Source organism: Homo sapiens, chromosome 2 (assembly GCF_000001405.40).
Source record: "Homo sapiens chromosome 2, GRCh38.p14 Primary Assembly".
In the NCBI taxonomy this organism is placed as follows: domain Eukaryota; kingdom Metazoa; phylum Chordata; class Mammalia; order Primates; family Hominidae; genus Homo; species Homo sapiens.
Window position 1 is genome coordinate 149393345 of NC_000002.12, and position 27847 is coordinate 149421191.

At 39.7% G+C, this 27847-nt stretch overlaps 1 protein-coding gene across 5 annotated transcripts in view, besides 1 other annotated feature; it reads left to right on the forward strand.

The window, feature by feature from the left end:
- Window positions 1-27847, forward strand: part of LYPD6 (LY6/PLAUR domain containing 6) — a 156394-nt gene that overhangs the window by 63360 nt on the left and 65187 nt on the right. The gene's annotated exons all lie outside the window — the stretch shown is intronic.
- Window positions 24545-25066: an enhancer, noted in NCBI's record as "OCT4-NANOG hESC enhancer chr2:150274403-150274924 (GRCh37/hg19 assembly coordinates)". NCBI's record gives its function as "activates a minimal SCP1, AML or CMV promoter by ChIP-STARR-seq in primed H9 embryonic stem cells {active_cell/tissue: H9 hESC(primed)}" and the evidence as "EXISTENCE:reporter gene assay evidence [ECO:0000049][PMID:30033119]".

Consider the following 27847-nt stretch of genomic DNA (forward strand, 5'->3'; position numbering starts at 1 on the left):
AGGCAACTGAGGTCAGTGTGCTCATAAATGGCTTCGGGTGAGTGTGTGAATTAAAAGCTCCTCTCTGTGTGATGATAACAGGGTATTTTCTGCTCACAATTACAGAAGCATACATTTTGAAAGTAAATAGCCTCATAGTTGTTCTTTCAGGTACTAAAGAGCCAGTTTATCAAGAATTAAGGCCCACTGAGTTAGGGGGCATAAAAGCAGAGTGGACAGGGCAGCCTCACCAAGATGGAGCTTGAGCCAAGCGTGGTCCTCCTGGCCCCTTGTGGGCAGCCAGCAGGCTACTGACTCTGTGGTGCACTAAGGAGCTACCTTTTTGGACTGCATTACTTAAACATCAGAGGGTAAGTATTATGCACAAATCTGAGGAAGATTAAGGGATCTGGGTTGCTCTGTACCGTGAGAGATGAGATTAGCTTTCCCCAGCTGGCGAGACTGGAGACATTTTAAAAAGCATTTTAACCAGAGGGTTTTCTAAGTTCTCCTGGAATCCATTACCATCTATTAGCTTTGAAACACTGACTGCCAAAAAGATAGGGCAGTGACAGGGCGATTTGCTCTCCTTTCTGGTGAGGTTTGAATCCCAAGGTGCCAGATGAGACTGGAAGGGCTCTCCAGACCTGCCGATAGAGGTAGGGAGATATTACACAAAGCCTGCTTACAAATCGGGCAGCTCTACAGTCTCAAATATAAAATTCGGTCATTAGCTTACACTGTCACGTTTCTAGCTGAATGGCAAGAGGACTTAAGACCTTCTGTTTGGAAAGTCAGAAACTAATGTTTTTGCTTCAACTCTTAACTCACAATGATGTCGTCTCCTGTTGCTGCACAGTCCTGTGGAGAAAATCAGTCAGTATTCTTGTTTTCCTCTGGATGGAGGTGATTTTAGAGCCATTAGTGCTTCTAGAAGCTTCCCTCCCCTCTGGGTCCCTGAGGGGATTCTTTTGGTACAAGTAGACAGAGTTGTCAACAGGTGATCACGGACCTCTGAAAATAGTAGTAAAAGTAGCAATCATTATTCTGTGTGTCAGGCACTGTGCCATGGGCTTTTACTCTCCACCGTATTTAACACCTCAAAATATAATAGGAAAGCCCACCAACTTGGCATCCATTTTGGATATATTTTAAAACTAAATTTACACCCATACATTTATATTTTATAATTTTAGTATTTTTGATAATAAAATTTGTTTTTTTGATCACATAAAGTAAAAACTATTTGACATTTCATCTGTCTGTAATGACCACAAATAGCATTTTGGTGCTCATTCTTTCATATATCTCTCTCTCTTTCTGTCTCTCTCTACACATGCACTGGTGTGTGGCATGGGTATAAATAGATTTTCACAAATTATATTATATATTTTGTACTTATTGTACATAGCTTTTAAAAGTTATGTTTTGTTCCTTTCCTTCCGTTGATACTCACTCCCTGCTCACCACCATCAACCAGTGTTGAACAGCCTAGTTTGTAGATGTCCACATTTCTATCCATGTTTATGTATATATTTATGTTTTGTTTTCTACAAAAAGTCACCCTCCAAAGCGGTATTTGTCATGTGCCCAGGATCCATTATTCACAATTCAAAATGGTGGACAAGATATTCCAAAAAATGAGATTATTGAAACATATATTCTCTGTATGTTACTTTTCTCACTCAACAATACCTCATGGACTGCCCTTCCTGATGGTTTAGGGCTGACTCACTCTGTAATGGCCTTGGAATAGGATATGAGGTGGGAGACCAACCATTTTTTTTTTTTCCATTTGAGTAGTCAGTTGTGCATGTGCCATTTATCAATAAGCTGTTCTCTCCACCATGGATCACAAGACTCACCTTGTCACGTAGAAGCTTCTGTTGATACTGGAATTGATTTCTGAGTTCATCAGTCAGTTCTGTTGTTTGTTCCTATGCCATGTTTTCATTTTAGTGGATTTAAGTCTGGTATGATGCTCCCCTCATAATTCTTTTTCAAAAGTTTTCTGCCAATTTTTGGATATTTGATATTACCTAAAAATGTATTATATCCACATTAAAAATTTTGGGATTCTAATTAAATGTATATATGAATTTTGAATTTATATGCTTTATTTTTTCTTTTCCTTTTTAATGACAGTATAATGCTATTGTAAGTTTTTTCAATTTGCATTACAGATATTTTAAAAAGCCCTAAACTTTTCCAGCCACCTGATTAAATTCCTTCATTGATTCGAGTACTTTTTATTTTTAGAGTTGGTGTTCCTAGGAGTATGAATATATTATTAGCAAGAAGGGAAAATTTTGTCTTCTCATTTACTCTGTTTATAGTAACTATTTTTTCCCCTCAATTTGAATTATAATGATAACAGCAGGTATCCCATCTTATTCCTGGCATTTGATTGTTTGGAATGATGTTTGCAATTGATTTTTGATGAATCCATATTCAAGAGGTTTCTTTTATTCCTATTTTACTTGAAGTTTTATTAGAAATGGCTGTTGAATTTCACCAAATGCTTTTTTAGAACCTATTGATGTAACCAACCACTTTTACTCCGTGCATTTGTTGCTCTCATGAATGATGGTAATGGATTTGCTGATGTGAAAACTGCCTTTCTGGAGTTGTCCTTGTTTGATCATTGACAATATTCATTTGATATAGTTTTGGGTTTTACTTCATAATGTTTTATTTAGAATTTTAACGAATATTTACAAATGAGATTGCTCTGTAGTTTTCTTTTATTGTACTGCCTTTACCAGTTTTGGTTTTAAGGCCAAACCAGTTTAATGATATGGACTTAGGTGATTTTCCCTATGTTTCTATTGTTTTGAATAATTTAAATAACATTTCTTTCCTTTAAGTTATATAGAACTCTCTGTGAAATCAACTGTTTTTGCCCTCTGCTTTTTTTTTCCTCTTAGAAAATCACTTCTCCTATCTCTCCTGTGGTAACTGGTCTATTCAATTTTCTACTTGAGTCAGTTTTGTTCCTTTATATTTTGTGGAAAGTCACACCAAGAACTTCAGAATGCTCTTCTCTCTTCCCCTTCTGCCTGCAGCCCTGCTTCTTCCTAATGCCTATGTTTTCTTTTGTTCCTGAGTATTACTATACCCTTGAAGTTTGCCTCTTATTTCAGAAATCTTTAATATTTATTTACATGTTCTCAGTCATGGTATCATTATCCATTTAGATTTCATAGTGTATTTGCAAGATACCCTTCTCACCACTCTTTTCTCCTTTCCCCTCCCCTGTCCCTGGAGATCTCTGCTCTGATTTATTTTTGTTGCATTAGAGTCTTTCTTGGTGTTTTCCTCAGATGAAGCATGGGGTTGATTTACTATTGAAACTGCATTATTCCAAAGATTTTCTTTCTAACTGTATAATCTTGAGAATGTTATTTAACTTATCTGGGTCTCAGTCTCCTTAACTGTAAAATGGGAATTCTAAGAACAGAGACCTTACAGGAACTTTATGAAGATGAAATGAGTTAATATATGCATTCTGGTTATCTGTTGCTACATTGTCCTTCAGTAGCTGTGGGACACTGGTTCCAGGACACCCTCTGCCCTCCCATACCAAAATCCACAAGTGCTCAAGTCCCTTATATAAAATGGCTTATTATTTGCATATAACCTTTGCAGCTCTCCTATATACTTTAAATCATTTCTATATTATAATACCTAATACAATGTAAATGCTATGCAAACAGTTGTTATACTGTATTTTTTATGTTTTAAAAAATATATTCTATCTGTGGTTGGTTCACTTCATCGGTGTCGAACCTGTGGATATGGAGGGCCAGCAGTATATAATGAACTACCTTAAAACAGCAGTGTGACAACTATGTATTATTATCTCTCATAGGTCTATGAGTTGGCTGGGTTTAGCTGGGCAGTTCTTGCTTGGGGGCTGTCATGGTTGGAGTCAGATAGCAGCAGTGGCTGGAGTCATCTGAAGGTTCAGCTGGGCTGGGAGTCCCAGATGGCTTTTTTATTTATTGTTTCAGTGTTCCTCCATGAGGCCTCTGTCTCCATCAGAGTAGCCTGGATTTCTTACCTGCTAACTCAAGGTTCCCAGAGGCAGAAAACTGCTGGTCTTCATAATGTCTTGGCCCAGAACTGGTGTAGCAGTGCTTCAACCACATTCTATGAGGTGGAAGAATACACTCTACCTTGAGTTGGAGGAGTGGCACAAGTAGAGAGGGAGGGAAGGAATTAATGATAGCCACATTTATAGACAAACTACCACAATAAGTGAAGTGCTTAGACTAGAATCTGGCACTGAATGAGTGCTGTAGAATTATTAACTCAGTGATATTATTGCAGTTGTTAAATTACCTTCAGAATTTGCTTTTACTCTGAGAGCTGAATGATGTCTTGTATGAGTATAGAAGTCTAGGACTGTGGTTCTTTTCTGTAAGTAATGTGCAGATGAAGTGTGATGCCAGTCTAATGACTTTTCCTTTGTAGGCAAGCTGTTATTTTTATCTAGAAGCTTTCAGGATTTTTCAGTAAAAGCAGAAATAAGATAGTTATCACCACTTATTAACAGACCTTTGGAGGTTCTAGAAAATATAAGACAAGAAAAGGAAGAAGTAGATGTTGAAAAAAATAAAATATCCTCTCTGTGCTGATGATTATTTTTAGCAAGCCCAGGAAACTCCATTAAGAAAAAAAACAACTAACTAGAATTAAAGAGGGAACACGGTAAGATGAGACATTACAAGATAAACATGTAAACACAATAGCTTTTCTTTTTTTCTATTCTAGCAAGTACCATAGTTTGGATTGATAGAAGTCTTTTATAATATATTCTTAACCTGGTACTGGACGAGCTCTTTCAGTTCAGTTGGATGAGACTTCTTATGCCAACTGAAGTCTTTTAAAAAAGCAGGGATTTTTTTCTCTTTTATTTCTTCAGTTACTGTCTCTCTTCCATATACTCCTTTTTCTCTATTATTTGCTTGGCTGTGATATGACAATTGCCTTTTCATGGGAAGATTTGTTCTTTTGTTGTAAAGTTCTGTTTTTCCTATTGTAGAAGATTATCCTTTATGATATGATGGGAATAGCAAAGATGGCTTTGTGTGTGTGTGTGTGTGTGTGTGTGTGTGTGTGTATGTGTATGTGCACACTCGTTTTGTTGTTTTTGTCTCCTGGCTGTCCTGAAAGTGTTCCCAGCAGATTTTCAGAGGGATGCTGCTTTCCTTACTTTCCTGTTACTGAGGAGGCTAGAGTGGGGAAGGGATGGGGGTAGCAGAGAAGCTTTCCTGGAGACCTCCACAAAGGACAGGCAGCTAGACCTGCTCCAGCCCTAGCCCTCTCATGGGGTTGTTGCTGTTCACAGTTCCCAAACAGCTCGACCTGAATTGAACTCTGAGGGTGAATAGAACAATGAGAAGCCTGGAAACCAACATAAGGGGACTCAGCCACCAGAAAATAATAAGCAGAAGGTAAGTGGTGCAAGTCAAACAGAATGGATAGAGGAGAAGGTTTAATCCTAACAAAAAGGTATAAAATAATTCCATTGCAAAAAATGAAGTTTTCTAGAATTTAAACGAGTAGTTTAAAAATGAGACATTCAATATATGGAAAAGATACCCAAGAAATTGCTAAGAGATTACCTCCAGAGAGGAGGCAAAGGGATGGCTGGGGACCAAGGTGAGAAGATGACTTCCTTTATTCATTGACATTTGCCACTATGCCAAAATGATATATCATGTATATATGCAGTTATGTAGTTGAATGGAGAATGAAGAGGAAGGTGTTAAAAAAAAAATCAAGCAGTGGTGTTAGGCCAGGGTGGAAATTTCCTGTTTATGAATTATAGTAGAATACAACATTTAATTTGGAATTAAAAAAAATACATCTTTTTTTTATTTTCTTCTAATGAAACTGCAACAGTGTTATTAGTACCTGTAACTTTGTCAGCAATAGAAATCAAAAATATTTTCATATAATATTACAGTTGTTGCAGACATCTTGAATGTCATTTATGTTCATCAGAGCTTAAAGTTATAATTGTTCATAGTACCACCACTAGAGCTTGGTATTTAATGTCATAATAAAAGCACATGTTATTGAGTTTGTGTATTTTAGTATTTTGATACTTAAATAGGATTGGTTTCCTTAGTAATCCTATGGATTTCACTTTATACATTTAAACATATTATATTTGGGGTAGGGTCTCTAGCTTTCATTAGACTGCCAAAGGGATCATGCCCTCAAAAAGGTCAAGAAACCTATGGGATATAGGGACCATTGGAGTAAACTATTGGCCCAGAAGATCAAGTGGAAGAGCAAAAACATATAAAAATATAAAAATAAAAGTGGAAAAAAACCAAATAAAATATAAATAATAAATTATAAAATAAAATATATAAATTATAAGTATATGGATAAATAAAAATAAGTACATAATGAAATAAATAAAATCATTAGAGGGACATAAAGAGACTTGGAGGACAGTCTAACACACCCAAAATGGGAAGAACAGAATCCTTCATAATAAAAGGATAAATCTTCCCAACAAAGGATGGTGGTTGGGAACATTATGTCTAATAAGGCTTTTGTCCTTTGTTGTTGCTTTATTTGGATGCTCATTTTAAGAAAAACACAGCATTGGCAAAGCTTTGTTGGACCACACTTTTGCTGGTCCACAAAACCCTCCAGCTGACAACCCACAGATGCAGGGTGGAAAAGCCTGTGTGACTGTCGGAGGGGAGCAGCTGGGTCCTTCCCAGCACACTGCAGCTGGAGAGAGTGTCCTGGCAGTGGGAAGTCTCAGCACAATGGCCTGGTGCTTTTCCACCTGTGAGAACAGCTAGTGAGTGATGCGTGCGCTGCGTTGGCAGCAGCTGCAGTAGTGTGTCCACTGTCTGAGCACTTCTTGCCACTTATTCTACCCTCCTGGGTTACCCAGCTCTTACCATTCTTATAGGGGGTAATGAAGACATGGATTTGAGAACCCTTGAATTGTTTCCTGCTGATCGATAGGTCGCACATGGCTGTTTACCTAGCAAACGGAAAGCAACATCAGTTCTTGAGACTGGTGACTGTATGTGAGAAAACGATAAAAGGATGGGGGCAGGGTGTGTGTGTGAGTGAATGCCGCATTGGTGTGTTTACAGTTCAGTGTCTTTCCGGAGCATGAGAGACGAACAAGTATTGTTTAAACGAATGCTGTTTAAACCCTGGGATTATATAGTCATGTGAACTTTTTTGGAGGAAACTGCAAATGTTGCTAGCCATTGTAATTGTGTTAGTTCTTGACTAAATGTCGTATATAAACTTCCTGGTAACAATTTTAATAACGTTTGCTACTTAATTATAACAGCATTTTACAAAAGTGTCAGGGCATCCTTAATTTATGTTTTGATAAGAGTGAAAGATTCAGAAAGTTTGCTTTCAGTTATCTAAAACTTGGGGCCTTCTCCAGCATATGCAAACAAATAGTAATGCTTAAATGCACTGTGTGTATGAGATGGGTTTTTGTTTGTGTAAATCTAGATGGATCCTCACTCCGGGGGCTTAACTAAATTGGGATTTACTTTTCTCGGTAATATGAAGACTGGTAGTGGGTAGCTGAAAGCAGGTATGAAAGCTTTGGGGGATACCATTCTCATTTCATCTTTCCATACCTCGTGCTCCCCCAAATGACAACCATGCCTTTGGGCTTCTTATCTGTATTTCAGGCAGCTAGAAGGCTGAAGGACAAAGAAGGAAAAGCAAAAGTCCAGTGCAAAGCTTTCTTGGAAGGCCTGCTAGTGGCTTCCACTTACATCTCATTGATCAGGAATGCACCATATGTCCATCAGTATGGATCCATCTAGTGGCTTCCACTTACGTCTCATTGATCAGGAATGTACCACATGACCATCAGTATGGTTCCATCCAGTGGTTTCCACTTACATCTCATTGGTCAGGAATGCACCACATGACCACCTGTATGGAATTCTGGGAAGTGTATTTTGGGTCAGGCCGGTTGCCACCCTGAACAAAATTTTTCTATTCATAATGAAGAAGGAGTGATTGGATTTGGGATATGTAAGCAGAAGTGCCAGGCACAGGAGCCTTCACCATTCCCCTCTATCTTTGTTCCAGCTGATTTCTGCTCATCTGGAAGGCTCTGTCTGTGCCATCTCTTCCAGGAAGCCCTCTGTGAGCCCCAGGTGGGGTTAAGTGTCCATTCTTCGAGCATTGATGGTACTCTGTATCCACACATCTCATATTCCCTGTCTTTTTCCACATACACATTTTCTATATCTGGTGGAAATCTCTACTTTAGGAATATTACCTCATTATGCTTGTAAGTGCCTTGAGAGTAGGATTTGTGTCCAATGTTTATTCCCAGATCTTTTATTTTTAGTATTATTTTAATTTAAAATTTTTAAATCTCAATAGGTTTTTGGGGAACAGGTGGTGTTTGGTTACATGAATAAGTTCTTCAGTGGTGATTTCTGAGATTTTGGTGCACCCAACACCCGAGTAGTGTACACTGTACCCACTGCATAGTCTTTTATCCCTTGCCACCCCCCACCCCTTCCCCCGAATCCCCAAAGTTCAATGTATCATTCTTACGCCTTTGCATCCTCATAACTTAGCTCCAACATATGAGTGAGAACATGTGATGTTTGGTTTTCCACTTCTGAGTTACTTCACTTAGAATAATAGTCTCTGGATACCTAATTCATGAGAGGCTTAAAACCTAGATGACGGGTTGACAGGTGCAGCAAACCACCATGGCACATGTATACCTATGTAACAAACCTGCACGTTCTGCACGTGTATCCCAGAACTTAAAAAAAAAAAAGAATAATAGTCTCCAATTCCATCCAGGTTGCTGCAAATGCCATTATTTCATTCCTTTTTATGGCTGAATAGTATTCCATGGTGTGTGTTTGCGTGTGTGTGTGTGTGTGTGTGTGTGTATTACATTTCCTTTATCCACATGTTAACTGATGGGCATTTGGGCTGGTTCCATATTTTTACAATTACAAATTGTGCTCCTGTAAACATGCATGTGCAAATATCTTTTTCATATAATGACTTATTTTCCTCTGGGTAGATACCTAGCAGTGGGATTGCTGGATCAAATGGTAGATCTATTTTTAGTTCACTTAGGAATCTCCACACTGTTTTCCATAGTGGCTGCACTAGTTTACATTCCCACTAACAGTGTAGACGTTTTCCCTTTTCTCCTTGGCATCCATGCCAACATCTGTTATTTTTGATTATGGCCATTCTTGCAGGAGTGAGTTGGTATTATATTGTGGTTTTGATTTGCATTTCCCTGATGACTAGTGATGCTGAGCATTTTTCCATATACTTGTTGGCTGTTTGTGTATCTTCTTTTGAGAATTGTCTATTCATGTCCTTAGCCCACTTTTTTTTTATTTTTTTATTTTATTATAATTATACTTTAAGTTTTAGGGTACATGTGCACAACGTGCAGGTTTGTTACATATGTATACATGTGCCATGCTGGTGTGCTGCACCCATTAACTCGTCATTTAGCATTAGGTATATCTCCTAATGCTATCCCTCCCCCCTCCCCCAACCGCACAACAGTCCCCAAAGTGTGATGTTCCCCTTCCTGTGTCCATGTGTTCTCATTGTTCAATTCCCACCTATGAGTGAGAACATGCAGTGTTTGGTTTTTTGTCCTTATGATAGTTTACTGAGAATGATGATTTCCAATTTCATCCATGTCCCTACAAAGGACATGAACTCATCCTTTTTTATGGCTGCATAGTATTCCACGGTGTATATGTGCCACATTTTCTTAATCCAGTCTATCATTGTTGGACATTTGGGTTGGTTCCAAGTCTTTGCTATTGTGAATAGTGCCGCAGTAAACATATGTGTGCATGTGTCTTTATAGCAGCATGATTTGTAGTCCTTTGGGTATATACCCAGTAATGGGATGGCTGGGTCAAATGGTATTTCTAGTTCTAGATCCCTGAGGAATCGCCACACTGACTTCCACAATGGTTGAACTAGTTTACAGTCCCACCAACAGTGTAAAAGTGTTCCTATTTCTCCACATCCTTTCCAGCACCTGTTGTTTCCTGACTTTTTAATGATTGCCATTCTAACTGGTGTGAGATGGTATCTCATTGTGGTTTTGATTTGCATTTCTCTGATGGCCAGTGATGGTGAGCATTTTTTCATGTGTTTTTTGGCTGCATAAATGTCTTCTTTTGAGAAGTGTCTGTTCATGTCCTTCGCCCACTTTTTGATGGGGTTGTTTGTTTTTTTTCTTGTAAATTTGTTTGAGTTCATTGTAGATTCTGGATATTAGCCCTTTGTCAGATGAGTAGGTTGTGAAAATTTTCTCCCATTTTGTAGGTTGCCTGTTCACTCTGATGGTAGTTTCTCTTGCTGTGCAGAAGCTCTTTAGTTTAATTAGATCCCATTTGTCAATTTTGGCTTTTGTTGCCATTGCTTTTGGTGTTTTAGACATGAAGTCCTTGCCCCTGCCTATGTCCTGAATGGTAATGCCTAGGTTTTCTTCTAGGGTTTTTATGGTTTTAGGTCTAACGTTTAAGTCTCTAATCCATCTTGAATTAATTTTTGTATAAAGTGTAAGGAAGGGATCCAGTTTCAGCTTTCTACACATGGCTAACCAGTTTTCCCAGCACCATTTATTAAATAGGGAATCCTTTCCCTATTGCTTATTTTTCCCAGGTTTGTCAAAGATCACATAGTTGTAGATATGCGCCATTATTTCTGAAGGCTCTGTTCTGTTCCATTGATCTATATCTCTGTTTTGGTACCAGTACCATGCTGTTTTGGTTACTGTAGGCTTGTAGTATGGTTTGAAGTCAGGTGGCGTGATGCCTCCAGCTTTGTTCTTTTGGCTTAGGATTGACTTGGCGATGCGGGCTCTTTTTTGGTTCCATATGAACTTTAAAGTAGTTTTTTCCAATTCTGTGAAGAAAATCATTGTTAGCTTGATGGGGATGGCATTGAATCTATAAATTACCTTGGGCAGTATGGCCATTTTCACGATATTGATTCTTCCTACCCATGAGCATGGAATGTTCTTCCATTTGTTTGTATCCTCTTTTACTTCATTGAGCGGTGGTTTGTAGTTTTACTTGAAGAGGTCCTTCACATCCCTTGTAAGTTGGATTCCTAGGTATTGTATTCTCTTTGAAGCAGTTGTGAATGGGAGTTCACTCATGATTTGGCTCTCTGTTTGTCTGTTATTGGTGTATAAGAATGCTTGTGATTTTTGCACATTGATTTTGTATCCTGAGACTTTGCTGAAGTTGCTTATCAGCTTAAGGAGATTTTGGGCTGAGACAGTGGGGTTTTCTAGATATACAATCATGTCGTCTGCAAACAGGGACAATTTGACTTCCTCTTTTCGTATTTGAATACCCTTTATTTCCTTCTCCTGCCTAATTTCCCTGGCCAGAACTTCCCACACTATGTTGAATAGGAGTGGTGAGAGAGGGCATCCCTGTCTTGTGCCAGTTTTCAAAGGGAATGCTTCCAGTTTTTGCCCATTCAGTATGATATTGGCTGTGGGTTTGTCATAGATAGGTCTTATTATTTTGAGATACATCCCATCAATACCTAATTGATTGAGAGTTTTTAGCATGAAGCGTTGTTGAATTTTGTCAAAGGCCTTTTCTGCATCTATTGAGATAATCATGTGGTTTTTGTCTTTGGTTCTGTTTATATGCTGGATTACATTTATTAATTTGCGTATATTGAACCAGCCTTGCATCCCAGAGATGAAGCCCACTTGATCATGGTGGATAAGCTTTTTGATGTGCTGTTGGATTTGGTTTGCCAGTATTTTATTGAGGATTTTTGCATCAATGTTCATCAAGGCTATTGGTCTAAAATTCTCTTTTTTGGTTGTGTCTCTGCCAGGCTTTGGTATCAGGATGATGCTGGCCTCATAAAATGAGTTAGGGAGGATTCCCTCTTTTTCTATTGATTGGAATAGTTTCAGAAGCAATGGTACCAGTTCCTCCTTGTACCTCTGGTAGAATTTGGCTGTGAATCCATCTGGTCCTGGACCCTTTTTGGTTGGTAAGCTATTGATTATTGCCACAATTTCAGAGCCTGTTATTGGTCTATTCAGGGATTCAACTTCTTCCTGGTTTAGTCTTGGGAGGGTGTATGTGTCAAGGAATTTATCCATTTCTTCTAGATTTTCTAGTTTATTTGCATAGAGGTGTTTGTAGTATCCTGTGATGGTAGTTTGTATTTCTGTGGGATTGGTGGTGATATCCGCTTTATCATTTTTTATTGGTCTATTTGATTCTTCTCTGTTTTCTTCTTTATTAGTCTTGCTAGTGGTCTATCAATTTTGTTGATCCTTTCACAAAACCAGCTCCTGGATTCATTAATTGTTTGAAGGGTTTTTTGTGTCTCTATTTCCTTCAGTTCTGCTCTGATTTTAGTTATTTCTTGCCTTCTGCTAGCTTTTGAATGTGTTTGCTCTTGCTTTTCTAGTTCTTTTAATTGTGATGTTAGGGTGTCAGTTTTGGATCTTTCCTGCTTTCTCTTGTGGGCATTTAGTGCTATAAATTTCCCTCTACACACTGCTTTGAATGTGTCCCAGAGATTCTGGTATGTTGTGTCTTTGTTCTCATTGGTTTCAAAGAACATCTTTATTTCTGCCTTCATTTCGTTATGTACCCAGTAGTCATTCAGGAGCAGGTTGTTCAGTTTCCATGTAGTTGAGCGGTTTTGAGTGAGTTTCTTAATCCTGAGTTCTAGTTTGATTGCACTGTGGTCTGAGAGACAGTTTGTTATAATCTCTGTTCTTTTACATTTGCTGAGGAGAGCTTTACTTCCAAGTATGTGGTCAATTTTGGAATAGGTGTGGTGTGGTGCTGAAAAAAATGTATATTCTGTTGATTTGGGGTGGAGAGTTCTGTAGATGTCTATTAGGTCCACTTGGTGCAGAGCTGAGTTCAATTCCTGGGTATCTTGTTAACTTTCTGTCTCGTTGATCTGTCTAATGTTGACAGTGGGGTGTTAAAGTCTCCCATTATTATTGTGTGGGAGTCTAAGTCTCTTTGTAGGTCACTCAGGACTTGCTTTATGAATCTGGGTGCTCCTGTATTGGGTGCATATATATTTAGGATAGTTAGCTCTTCTTGTTGAATTGATCCCTTTACCATTATGTAATGGCCTCCTTTGTCTCTTTTGATCTTTGTTGGTTTAAAGTCTGTTTTATCAGAGACTAGGATTGCAACCCCTGCCTTATTTGTTTTCCATTTGCTTGATAGATCTTCCTCCATCCTTTTATTTTGAGCCTATGTGTGTCTCTGCACGTGAGATGGGTTTCCTGAATACAGCACACTGATTTGTCTTGACTCTTTATCCAATTTGCCAGTCTGTGTCTTTTAATTGGAGCATTTAGTCCATTTACATTTAAAGTTAATATTGTTATGTGTGAATTTGATCCTGTCATTATGATGTTAGCTGGTTATTTTGCTCGTTAGTTGATGCAGTTTCTTCCTAGCCTCAATGGTCTTTACAATTTGGCATGATTTTGCAGTGGCTGGTATCAGTTGTTCCTTTCCATGTTTAGTGCTTCCTTCAGGAGCTCTTTTAGGGCAGGCCTGGTGGTGACAAAATCTCTCAGCATTTGCTTGTCTGTAAAGTATTTTATTTCTCCTTCACTTATGAAGCTTAGTTTGGCTGGATATGAAATTCTGGGTTGAAAATTCTTTTCTTTAAGAATGTTGAATATTGGCCCCCACTCTCTTCTGGCTTGTAGAGTTTCTGCCGAGAGATCCACTGTTAGTCTGATGGGCTTCCCTTTGTGGTTAACCCGACCGTTCTCTCTGGCTGCCCTTAACAGTTTTTCCTTCATTTCAGCTTTGGTGAATCTGACAATTATGTGTCTTGGAGTTGCTCTTCTGGAGGAGTATCTTTGTGGCGTTCTCTGTATTTCCTGAATCTGAATTTTGGCCTGCCTTGCCAGATTGGGGAAGTTCTCCTGGATAATATCCTGCAGAGTGTTTTCCAACTTGGTTCCATCCTCCCCATCACTTTCAGGTATACCAATCAGACGTAGATTTGGTCTTTTCACATAGTCGCATATTTCTTGGAGGCTTTGTTCGTTTCTTTTTATTCTTTTTTCTCTAAACTTCCCTTCTCGCTTCATTTCATTCATTTGATCTTCCATCACTGATACCCTTTCTTCCAGTTGATCGCGTCGGCTCCTGAAGCTTCTGCATTCTTTGCGTAGTTCTGGAGCCTTGGCTTTCGGCTCCATCAGCTCCTTTAAGCACTTCTCTGTATTGGTTATTCTAGTTATACATTCGTCTAAATTTTTTTCAAACTTTTCAACTTCTTTGCCTTTGGTTTGAATTTCCTCCTGTAGCTCGGAGTAGTTTGATCATCTGAAGCCTTCTTCTCTCAACTTGTGAAAGTCATCCTCCTTCCAGCTTTGTTGCATTGCTGGTGAGGAACTGCATTCCTTTGGAGGAGGAGAGGCACTCTGGTTTTTAGAGTTTCCAGTTTTTCTGCTCTGTTTTTTCCCCATCTTTGTGGTTTTATCTACTTTTGGTCTTTGATGATGGTGACGTACAGATGGGTTTTTGGTGTGGATGTCCTTTCTGTTTGTTAGTTTTCCTTCTAACAGACAGGACCTTCAGCTGCAGGTCTGTTGGAGTTTGCTAGAGGTCCACTCCAGACCCTGTTTGCCTGGGTATCAGCAGCGGTGTTTGCAAAACCGCGGATTTTCGTGATCTGCGAATGCTGCTGTCTGATCGTTCCTCTAGAAGTTTTGTCTCAGAGGAGTACCCGGCCGTGTGAGTTGTCAGTCTGCCCCTACTTGGGGGTGCCTCCCAGTTAGGCTGCTCGGGGGTCAGGGGTCAGGGACCCACTTGAGGAGGCAGTCTGCCCGTTCTCAGATCTCCAGCTGCGTGCTGGGAGAACCACTGTTCTCCTCAAAGCTGTCAGACAGGGACATTTTCAATATGTTTTTCTTTATAGGTTACCTGATACTTTTGCCTCACAGCTCTTAAGATTCGTTCCTTCGTCTTGACTTTAGGTAAGCTGAGGACTATGTGCTTAGGCAATGATCTTTTTGCATTGAATTTCCCAGGTGTTCTTTGAGTTTCTTCTATTTGAATATCTAGATCTCTAGCAAGGCTGGGGAGGTTTTCCTTGATTATTTCGTCAAATATATTTTCCAAACTTTTAGACTTCTCTTCTTCCTTGGGAACGCCTATTACTCTTAGAGTTGGACATTTAACAGAGTCCCAAACTTCTTGGAGGATTTTTTCATTTTTTAAAATTTTTTCTTTGTCTTTGACAGATTGGGTTAATTTGAAAGCCTTGTCTTCAAGCTCTGAAGTTCTTTCTTCTGCTCGTTTGATACTGTTGTGAAGACTTCCCAGTGCATTTTGCTTTTCTCTAAGTGTGTCCTTGATTTACAGAAGGTGTGATTGTTTTTTATTTATGCTCTTCAATTTCACTGAAGAATTTTCCTTTTATATCCCGTACCATGTTTTTGATGAATTTAAGTGGGACTTTGCCTTTCTCTGTTGCCTCCTTGATTAGCTTAATAGTCGACTTTCTGAATTCTTTTTCTGGTAATTCAGAGATTTTGTCTTGTTTTGGATTAATTGCTGGTGAGCTGGTATGATCTTTTGGGGGTGTTAACCTTGTTTTGTCATATTACCAGAATTGTTTTTCTGGTTCTTTCTCATTTGAGTAGATGATGTCATAAGGAAGATGTGTGATTCAAGGGCTGCTGTTCAGATTCTTTTGGCCCATGGGGTGCTCCCTTGATGTGGTGCTCTCTCCTTTCCCCTAGGAATGGGCCTTCCTGAGAGCTAAACTGTAGTAAATGTTTTTTCTCTTCTTGGTCTAGCCACCTAGCAGAGCTACCAGGCTCCGGGCTGGTACTGTGTAGTGTCTGCAGAGTCCTGTGATGTATCTCATCTTCAGGTCTTGCAGCCGTGGATACCAGCACCTGCTCTGGTGGAGGTAGCAGGGGAGTGATGTGGACTCTGAGGGTCCTTGGTTGTGTTTTTGTTTAGAGCACTGATTTTGTGTTGGTTAGCCTCCAGTCAGGAGGTGGAGCTTTCAAGAGCGCATCAGCTGCAGTCCTATAGGGAGGATGCACACTTGCCCTAGGGACACCTGGTTAAGCATTCAGGTTTCTCAGGTGGTGAGCAGGGCCATAGAACTCCCAAGAGATTATGGCCTTTGTCTTTGGTTACCAGGGCAGGTAGGGAAAGACCACCAGGTTGGGGCAGGGATAGGCATGTCTGAGCTCAGCATCTCTTTGGGTGGGGCTTGTTGCAGCTGTTGTGGGGGTTGGGAGTATGGTTCCCAGTCCAGTGGAGTTATATTCCCAGGGGGATTATGGCTGCCTCTTTTGAGTCACATAGGTTGCCAGGGAAGTGGGAGAAAGCTGGCAGTCACTGGCTTCGTCCTGCTTCCACACAGCTGGCAGTCCTAAAGGCTGGTCTCACTCCTACCGTGAGTAGGAGGGCTCACTACCAGGGCTGAGAACTTGCCCCAGACCATGAGCCATCGAGAAAAGAAGCAGCAGAATCACAGTTTTTCAGCATCTTAGGGGGCCTGCAGCAGTGATTCAGTTCCTTCTAAGGGCCTGTGGATTCTCTCAGCTTTCCTGGTGTGTTCCTGTGGTAGTTCTTGGAGCAAAAGGTCATGATGTGCATCTCCACACACTGCTCTGTCCCTCTGAGCAGGAGCTGCAAGCTAGTCCTGCCTTCTATCTGCCATCTTAATCCCCAGTTCCCAGCTCTTAACTCAACACTTGGCATATAGTAGGTGCTCAGTTGAAGTTTGTTGACTTGAACTGTCAAAAACTAGTAAAATTTACTGAAATTTAGGGGTCTCAGAGTACTTCTAATTTTTATAAAAATTCCTTTTTTATTTTTCTCTTTTTTGAGTATAATGCATACGTTTGTAAGTGCATCTGTTGGATACATTTTTAGTTGTTTTTAATCTTGTAAAACATGCTGGTGGTTTGTGCCAGTATACGTGAATATTTGTATGTGTTTGTGATTTGTATCTAGGTGCAGTTGTTAAATACATGAGCCATTTCCTATGGCATCAAGTACTTTTGACAAGTGTGAACCAAGTCGGAGTTAGAAATGGTGGTCTCAGACATAGGATTCTAGTGCTGTGACTAAGGTGCAGTTTACCCCTCAGGGATGTTGGAAAACAAATGAGGTTGTTTACCTGAAAAGTAACTCTTGCTTCTCCAGTGAAAAGTCCTATGCTAATTTCTGGTACAGTTAATCCTCTATTCCCCATGTCAATAGAAAAAAAAAAGAGTGCAGATTGTCTAAAGTCGTTGATTCCTGATTTTGAATTGAATTATAATGTATTTTGGATGCTGGCAGGAAACCAGCCTTCTGTGTGGATAAAACAAGGCTATTGTTCATGCGAGTCAGTATTCAATAAATCTGTATTATGAGCTCTTGTCTAAGCCCTATCAGGGGCAGGTGATGTGTAATACATTTGCATTATGAAGGGCCCAGGCAAGTACAATACATCTGAATGTATGGGTGTACTCAAGTTCCATCTGTGTTTTCTATTTAGATCATAGGAAAGTTATGTGGCCTCATTAGGTTTGTAAATGCTTTCACCATGTTACATTTCATTGTTTTACTGAAATGCTTATGTGAAGAGTATCTCCAGATCTTCAGCAGAACTACTGATGAAGTCATCGACCATTAGGATTAGTACAGTGGAATGGTTGGTCTAAGGTCCAAAGTGTGGTGCCAGATCAGCAACATCAGCATCATCTAGGAAACTGTTAGAAATGTAGTCTCAAGCTCCATTCCACAGACCTAATGACTCAAATGGGAGTGGGGTCCAGCAGTCTGTTTTAACAAGCCTTCTGACGCAGCGTCAAGTTTAGGAACCACTGGCTAAGCCGTAAAATCAAGATGTTTTCAGTGTCTTGCATAACATCTCAGAATTCATCATCTGGTAAAAATGTGTGTGTATTTTTTTTTTTTATAAACAGGTATGAAGTCTTTCTCCAGACAACAAGAGTGACATCACTCGTCATGTTTCCATTTCTGCCTTTTCCTTCAGGAAACTTGGAGCTGTGCTTATTGCTTAATCATAGGCATTCCATTTACTCCATTTGCCTGGGCTTTTTATTTCCTCTTCCTTTCCATGAATTTTATTTGCTTGTTTTATTTAACAGCCTTTCTATGAATCTTTTATTATAGGCCTTCTCAAATCCATTTTGCTAGTTAGTGGGTTGGCAGTGTGGGGTGCGATATAATTTGAAACAAATTGACTCACTCACATGATATGATTGACAGTGGAAGTATTTGACAAAGAAATGATAGTAGGGGAAGCTAGCATGGAATTAAGCATATTTTGCAGAATACCATGTATGCCCTTGAATACTTACACATGGTAAGACAATTCAAACAGTATAGAGAAATATAAAATGAAAAGTTTAAAACCTCCCTCACTCCCTTAGTGATGGCTCTTTCCCCAAAGATAATCATTAACACAGTTTAGAAAATAAAGGTTAGACATAGAGCCCACATATATATGTATATGTATTTATGCATTTGCTTTTTAAAAATCACAAAAAGGACCTAGTGTACATTCTTGTTTGCATCTTTTTTTCTCGTAATATAGCATATGGTCTTCTTATTAAAGTCTGTACGATATTCTTTTGTATGATTGTACTTTATAAACCTACCTCCTATTATCAGGTATTTAGATTATGTGCATTCTCGCCTATATTATCTTGACACACTTTTGAAATTTATCAGCTAGGAAAATTCTTGGAAATGGAATTTTGGGATTAAAGAGTATATACATTTAAAAAATGAATAGGTACTGCCTAGTAACTTTCCAGAAAATATAAATTAATTTGCTTTTCAAATGAGACTCTCTTTTCCCATAGGATATTATCAAATGAAAACCTTTTTACCAATTTTATGGGTGTAGAAATCGAATCTAATTGTTTTGATTCACATTTCTTTAACTCTGATAAGGTTGAGCATTTAAAAAAGATTTATTAGCTAATTTTATTTCTTTTTTTTTTTTGTGGACTGGTGTTTAGAGATGACACTTATCTATGTTTTTCATGATCTAATCTTCAAGTTCCCATACCTGGAAATCCTTAGAATCCATCAGAGAAGCTATTTTTGTTAATTTTTTTTAATACAGATTTTCTGATTCTACTCTAGAGTTCTCGAGTCTGTTTCTCAACTCTTAATAGCCTGCTTTTACAGATTCTGTTGCCAATCAGTCAGGTGTAGGCTGTGGTCCAAGAGCAGCATAAACATAGCATCTAAGGGAGCTTTCTCACACCAGCAGTGTCTCTGCTGTCTATATCCAATTGACTAGAAATCAGTTTTCAATATTGCATTGTGAGCAATATTATCGTTGGAAGCCAAAGTACTGTGTCAACTTTTTTTAAGCAAAAAAAGTATATGTAAAAAGTAATATCATATTAGGATCCAAACTGCCTTTTGTGGCAGAAATGAAAATGGAATATAGAGAATAATTTTTTCTAGGAGAATTCCCATTTGTGAATGATGTGCTAGTTCAGTGTTTTCCTTTCATAATCATTAACTCATCATGCTCTCCATACTACCTTTTGAGCCTAGAAGCCCAGAGCTGAATTTTAAGACCAATCATAGCAACTGTATTTTGCTAGGTTTCTGATATTTATATTTTTTTCCGAATTTCTATTGTTTTTGAGAATGTTACACTCATCTCCAAAACTCTCCCAGGGCTTGTGTTTTCCCTTCTTCTTGACTTTATAAAGGATCAACACATCTTTAAGTACCATCTGCAGTTGGCCTTTTCCTCACCCAAGGGAAACTGAGGATATTTGGGAGTCCCGAACTGGGTCCTCCAGACACCCTCTGTTACTCAGTAATTATGGCGCCAACATCCGGCCAGGCAGCTGTTCCTTGCCCAGGAGAGACTAAGATGGGGGAAAGAGGAGGTTGAGTTTGTGAGTTACTGGGTACATTTTCTACCTTCTGATTTACTGCAACATGATACAGAAACATGGATAAATAAACCAGCCCAAATTTTCTCATGTGTAAAGAAAAGTGAAATGACGAGATAGAGAGAGAGAGAGATTAGAAAAAAGAAGAATTTCATCTTTCTACTATGTTACAGACTTACCACACTACAGTTTATCTGGCCCGAAATTCTTTTAGTTGTTCATCTCCCACTTATTTTATTCTCCTTTCCACCTCATTTCTGTGAGATTTGCACTTTCCACTTATTCTTGAAATCAGTTAACAGTTAATCTATTCCCTGGCATTAGCACTTCCCCTGGGGACTTACCTATTGATTGGCCTTTTAATCTAGTTGTTAAAATTCTCCCAATACTCACTGACATGGAGCAGTTTCAATTTGTGTGTTTTAAAGTGTTGGCCAGGGTCATTAGAAAAGTGAAGTTCACATATCTACTTTGTGGCACAAGGACAGTACCTGGCAATTGATTTGCTATGTGACTGTGGGTTTTGGGGAAGAAGAAGGGAAGAGGTATAGAGAACAATTACCAAGTCTACTCTAATTCTGGGGTCCATCCGCATTCTGCACCATACAGCGTGATCAATAAGAACATATCTTATAACCTTTACAGGTTATTGAAAATGTGCATAAGTTAGGGATACTGGCCAAAGGGTGGCCACTTGCATCTTTAAAATGTGTAGGTGGTTCTTTAGCAATCTCAGAATCTATGGCCACTTTTCCCTAGAACTAGTTGGTGTTGTGTTTGTATATTTTTACAAATTTATGTAATTAGAAATAGGACTTGATAAGCAATAGAACTTTGATAGATGTTCAGTTAAAGAACTTGTACCTTTTTTCTTCCCTCAGATTAATTTGTGTTTTATGCCACTATTCAGAAAAAGAAATTTCAGAGTATTAGAATAAGATATAATTTTAAAGTGATTTTATTAAAGCATTTGTTAAAACATTTACTAAATGGTCCCTAATGTATTTTTAATACTCACTGTTAATATTTCTTAAATTCTCACATTCTACAGTTTTGTAATGACAAACTTTCTCATCCATTAAAATCTTTCTTTGGAAATAGCTTATGGTTTAAAGGTGTTTCTAAAAAAATAGTATTTTTAAATTTGCGTTATATTTTTGTTTGAAAGATGGTACTATTCTTTGAAAAATCAAAACATTGGCCTTTAGTAGAGAATATATATATTAAAATCGCCTCAAATAATATAAAATTATACTTTTAACATTTCTGTCTTTCCTATTAAATTATGATTTTCTGGAGGATAAGGATCAACTCTTATACAAATCTGAACCTTCATAACTAGCACAGGGCTTGGCCCGTATTGAATTCTCAGAAAATACTTCTTGAATAAGACAATAAATTAATTGCCTCTTTGGTGAAGTTAATATATTCTGTAGTACCCTGGGGTTATGAAATACCCCATGAACTGAAAGGACAAAATCCAAAATATAATGACTTAGTTTCTTAAAATGGTGACAGTTTAGCTTCTTAAGAGGCATTCTGTGGAGGTCATGTTGAGGCTGTTGGAGCATTTAGAATGGTGGACACCAGCTGGCAGGCAGGAACCAAAACAGTCATGGGGTGCGTTTGTCCTCCTGTTACGTTTTGTTCATTTTGAACCAGTTTACAACATTAAAAATGCAGTGATCTTACAATAAAAGTACAGACTTCTGAGGTTTCTTAAAAACTCAGCAGAGCTAACCTCACTAGCCCTTGTGGCAACATTCAGCCAGAGCTGGTAGTGGGTGTTCCTTATAGATGGACACACACTCTAGATTTTATCACTGTCCAATGGGAAAGAGACATTCTGTGGGATGCATGCTGTGTAGTATAAATATATGGAACCCTACAACTTGGTGTAGGATGTGGAGGAATCTGTGCTCCACAGTCAGGCAGATCCTTTTGAACTGGCCATGCAAAAACAAATAGGGAAAGCAGGGCCAGAATCAACTCTCGTCCTTAGACTGGCTGCCAAACCTCAGTTCCTGGAGAGAGAGCAGAGGGAGTAGTATAGATCCCCCTCTGCCTGGCTGAAAAAGGAGGATGGCTCTTTAGTGTGGAGTCTGTGAAGCACATGGCAGAAGGCAGGGGGCTTGCTAGGGGCAAAGAAGGGGGCTAAGCCTAGAGATGGTACAGGCACATTAGAAAGGACTGAAGCAGATGCTGAGAGCAACTGACCGGGAGAAATATCTCTAAGGGAAATGGTGCTGGAGCTGGGGAAGGCTTGGAGAGCTATCAGACTGCAATGCAGGTCTCACCCTTAACGAAGGAGAGAGAGAAGGGAGGAAGGAAGGAAGGAAAGAAAGAAGGAAGGGCTGGGTAGGCCTTACACTAAACTGTAATTCTTTTTTTCTTGGAGACAGGGTTTCACATCGTCCCCCAGGCTGGGGTGCAGTGGCATGATCACGGCTCACTGCAGCGTCAACCTCCTGGGCTCAAGTGATCCTCCCACCCCAGCCTCCTGAGAAGCTGGGACTACAGGCGCACACCACTGTGCCAGGCTAATTTTTGTAATTTTTTTTTGTATTTTTTGTAGAGATGGGGTTTCTCTTCATGTTGCCCAGGCTGGTCTTGAACTCCTGGGCTCAAGCCATCTGCCCACCTTGGTCTCTCAAAGTGCTAGGATTATAGGCAGGAGTCACCATGCCCAGCCTAACCTGTAATTCTAAGAAAGTTTGACAAAGCTAACAATCCCGAGTCAAAGTTGCCACAGTTGTGCCTTACAGACCTCTTTTTCTACTCAAGTTTGAAGAGCAGTGCCTCCGTGACTTCCATGGGCTGCTTTTCCTGAGAGAGAACTCAGAAGAGGAAGGTTAGCATGACAAACTATATGCCTTCCTCACCACAGTTAATTTGGGGTCTGCAGTGGGTACTCATCTTCTCCTTCCTGAGCTGCCCACTCTGAGTTCTCCATATCCCTAATTATCACCTTGGTGGGTCTTGCTGGCTTACTTAATGATGTGACCCAAATCCTCTTTCCTGGGGGAATGAAACCTTTGTAGTCATGCCCTTCAGAGGCTGGGATTGCTGCATGTGTCTGTTCAGTTATAGTGGGGTAAGGGAGTATCAGGAGGCACCCACATGGGTTGCCTCGGTTTCATATGTATTCCTCTCTGCCTTACCTGGGTAAAAACAGCCCTGCCTCTTCCTGCCAATTAGGGTCAGTTATCTCTGCCATTTGGTCCCTGGACACAAAGAATCCAGGGTGCCCTCGTGGCAGCTATAACTGTAGTTCAGTGGGACCCTTGCTAAGTTCTTTGGCAAGAGGGTAAGGAGCCCAGGACCTCCCTTACAACGCCCAGAGTTTTGTGAAGGAGAAGCATAGAATCCCCTGGTGAGTTATCAGGAGTGCTAATAAGCGGGGCTACTCCTGTTCTTGGTTTTGGGGCCCATGCCATCTTCCTATTGGAGACAGCACCCCGTGGAGGACTCTGATGCAGTGCGTATGCTGCATCCTGAAGGACAGCACCACATCCTTTCAGAAGATCGCCTCCTAGCTGGTGCTTCACCTGCACATTTAGAAGGCAGTTCTAGTGTTCTGTGAGGCCTGCTGCTTATGAGTGGTGCGATATGTGATACAACACTGGATTCCATGGTCTTGGGCCCAATCTTGCATCTCTTTTCTGTGACAGCATGGGAAGATGTTATGCTGTACAGGATCTCGTGCCTATGGACCAGCCAGTCCACAAGCCCCCAGGTAGCAATGCTGGCTGGGGCTCTGCTGGGTGTGAGTGCCTTTATGACTGGGCATGCCCAATAGAACCCAGCTCATGATGGGTAGTTCCAGATTCAGGATCACTCATTATCACATGGGCAACACTCCATTGTTAGCAGGAATCAGTAACATGCCAAGGGCAATTTCTTAAAAGGGCTTTACTCTTCTACTGCAGATGACATGGACTTGCTCCAGAATCCCAAGGCCTATTTTATGATTCTCCCACTGGGGCTCGCCATAAGCTCTATACTGCCTTGTATATACTGATAAAGCATTTAGACTTTATCCTGTGAGCAGTGGGGAACCATTGACAGTTTCTAACTGTGGACCTATATTATTAGATCTTTTAGAAAACTGTAATACAGAATGTTTGGAAAGAAAAGAAACAGTCAGACCAGCAAAAATTAAGCGTCTGAACTAAAATTTAGGCCATAGGCATGATGAAGAAAGGGGAAGTGATTTGAAGAGTATCTAGAAAGTAGGATCAGTAAAATGGGGAGACTGCATGTTGGGAGGGAAAAACTGTCTAGAACAATTCTGGGGTTTGGGGGTCTGCAAAGTAACCAGAAAGGATTTCATGTGTTAAATTTTTGATGCTGCATTTTAGAGTAAAGAGTTCCCAAGGACTATACCACTAAAAGAAACTTGACCTGTGTTGAGCTATATTTAATCAGCTGGATTTTTAAGTGAATCCCAATATTAATTCATATTGAATTAATTTTTTTCTTCCAAAAAATACTGAGCTGGGATAAACTAGAAATATAATGAACCAGAATATCAATATTGTTTTCATCTGTTTTGTTTTCTTTGTAACACCAGAACCTAGAGTAGTACCTAATACATATTAGACACAGTAAATATTTATTAAATGAATGAATTTTCCCAACTAAATCAATAATCTGAAATTTGTGATTCATTTTTGCCATGAGCATTGAGTTACTACTGGGAGATGTTGAACTTGCAGTGTAATAAATATTGGAGGAGAAATGCTTTGTTCACTCGTCTTGTGGTAAGCAGGACTGATTGTATTAAATTACAGACAATTCGGATGTTTTCTGATTTTGCATGGGCTCGATCTCTATGGCCTCATCAAATCTTCACAGCAGGAAGGCATCAAGAGAGATCCTCTTTTTTCTCCTGTTGATTATAAGCCAAAGGGAACAAAGATTTCCAGGCAATATGGAAATTCCTTTGTGACACAATTGTAGGGGAAGGGAAACCCCCACATTCTTACTGGTCCAACCAGTGCAAGCTGCGATTCGATCATTTCCTTTTTTTCCCTCATGTCTAGGAGTTTATTCTAAGAAAATAATGGGGCATAGACCATATAATGTAGTAGCAAGGATGTTGCTCACGCATTATCTAGAACATAAAAATTTGGAACTCCCTGAAATGAGTAATAATAAGAAGTTGAAATGGGGGACATGGCCCTTTAAAATAACCTACATTTTGATCTGTATTGATAAGATTTTATAGTTAAAGCAAACTGGGTTAAAGAGAAACCAACTTCTAACATATGGAAACACTTCTTTCCTCTAATTCTCTCGAGACCTTGCGCTATTTCTCAGATACCTGTCCACAATTTTCCCATTGACTTTAATAGCTTGAGGAGAAGCTAGCAGATTCAGAGAAGGCCTAGAGCATTTGGCCAGTTGGCAAAGTGCGAGTACCCCAGAGCCCCAGGTTTCAATGTTTGCTTCCTTCTCTTCACCCTTCTTCAGCACCCAGCTTTCACATGCTTGCTTTATACTTCTTAAAACCTAAATGACCACTTTCCCCTACAGTGACACATTCTTAGCATGTCCAGGATACATTGAGCAAGCCAGCCTCTCTCAAAGGCAGTTCTTTTGTTCACCTTATCTTCTAACTGGCTGAAGACTTTTAAAACCTGGCATATGAAACCAGGCTGCTTCAATTCAAATTTTGAGTCTGCCACTTTCTATAATACAATTATAGGTGACAATTGATCTTCCTTAGCTTACTCATCTGTAAAAACTGGGATTAAGATAATAACCTACCTCAGAGGGTAATTGACGGAGTCAAATGTAAAGCATGGAATGATTCTTTTCAAATAATATATCATTTTCAGCCATCAACTACAAAAGAAAGGTGAGGGTGGAGTGTTTCTTTGTAGTACTTCTGCAGGTATGATGCCTGGTCTATTTCATTTCCTTTTGATCCCCTTTTACTGGGCTCTAATGATCAGGCCCAGAATATCTCCCATAGAAGCAGCTGTGTTATATTTTCTTATTTAATTAACGTTGATGTGTTGGTATTTCACTGGGTAATACTCATTCTTCTTCACCCTACTCCTAATTGGTTCTGAGGTCACAGCTTTAAGTGATTGGATTTTATTCATTTATCATTAATTAAGAACTCTACTGTCCAGTACTGTAGCCACTGGCCACATGTGACTATTTAACTTAAATTTCAATTAAATACAATTAAATTCAGTGCCTCAGTCACACATTTCAGTTGTGGCTAGTGGCTCCCAAATCGGACAGCATTGACATAGAACATTTCCGTCATTACAGAAAGTCTTATTGGACAGCTGACTTAGACCCTTCCTTTTGCTACCCTTGTTATAGAGAATCACTGTAGCATTTATCCTCACTACCTGCGTGCTCTCATGCACAGACAAGCTGGCAGAAAGCTTCAGATCCCTATAAGCATAAAAACAGGAATTAGAACAACCAGTTATCTCATATCAAATGCTGATCCTTCAAAGACTTTTGATCAAATTCCTTTGCCTCTTGTAGGATAATTCTCTACAATATGTGCTCAGGGTGTGTGTGTGTGTGTGTGTGTCTGTGTTTCTTTCTGCTCATAAGGAAAAAGACCTTGCAGGATACAGTGTAACTACAGAAATTGTATGGTTTTGATATTGGAACTATGTTATTCTACGTTACAGAGTGAAATCAGAATGAATGTATCATTAGCTTTCCTGTTGATTCCTGACTACATTACTTGTATTTATTCCCTTTTGCCTGAATCCCAGGCCTGCCTGCTTTTCCGCTATGAATAACATCAGAATAAGTGACTAGAAAGAGAGGCCAGAAAGTATGCCACCTTTAGAGAGGGGTCATGTAATCAAGGCTTAGTTCTCACAAGCATAGTTACTCACAGTCCAGATGTCAGGGCGGGGGTCCCAGTGAGCTGAAGGCATCTCAGTGTGCCACTGCAAACGAGGACATTGAACTGCAGGGAAGTTTTATTGCTCAAGTTCACCCTGCTCTTTGTAGCAGAGCAGGAGTCAAAGTTCAAGTTTGCAGTCTGCAAAAGCTGTTCTTTTCTGGTTGCTCCATGCTGCCTCTGAAAATGTTGGTGTCTGTGTGTGTTTCATTTCTCAAAATGTGACCGTCCCGCTGGCTACCTTTAGAGTAATAGGTGTGAGTGTATGTTCGTCCCTGGAGAGGCCTCAAGACATTTTCTCTTTTGTTGTCATAAAAATCGAGTGTGCTTGGCTGGAAAGGTAGAGTGTACTTCACCTGGAGTATTTCAAGGGTAACACCAGACAACCACTTCCATCAAGAGGGTGAAAAACACTTTAGGGAAGTTACTGCCAAAGAAGTGAAGAGAATCCCATCAGGTTTAGGGCTGAGCATTGTAGAAACCAGGAAAGATGCCATGGTAGTTTCATAGGTCAGGGCCTGCCTACTTCCTTTCCCCAAAGACTCGGAAGACCCACAGGCAGGATAGAGAGAGGAGACCTGGTGGAATACATCGTACTGTGATTATGCGGGACTGCTAAGAGCCCCTTAACTGAGCCGTGTGGAGAACTTCTCAGTGCTGTTTGCTGCAGCCTGTGGAATAACAGAATACATTTCGGGCTGTTTCTTCCCGCTGGCAACTTTGCAGAAGCATTATAAGGTTTCCCAAACTGTGTTGCAAGTTAGAATCACCTGGAGGATTCTTAAAATCCCAGTGTCAAGGTCGCATCCCATAGCAGTGAAATGGTAATGGGTGAGAGCCATCATGAGGAGTTTTTCAGGATCCCCAGGGGATTCCAATGTGTAGCAAATTTGGAAACCTTGGCCCTTTTTGATACCCTCTTTCTTTAATCCCAGCACTTTTCTTTAATCCCACCACTTTCTTTAATCCCAGCACTTTGGGAGGCCAAGGCGGGCAGATCACTTGAAGTCAGGAGT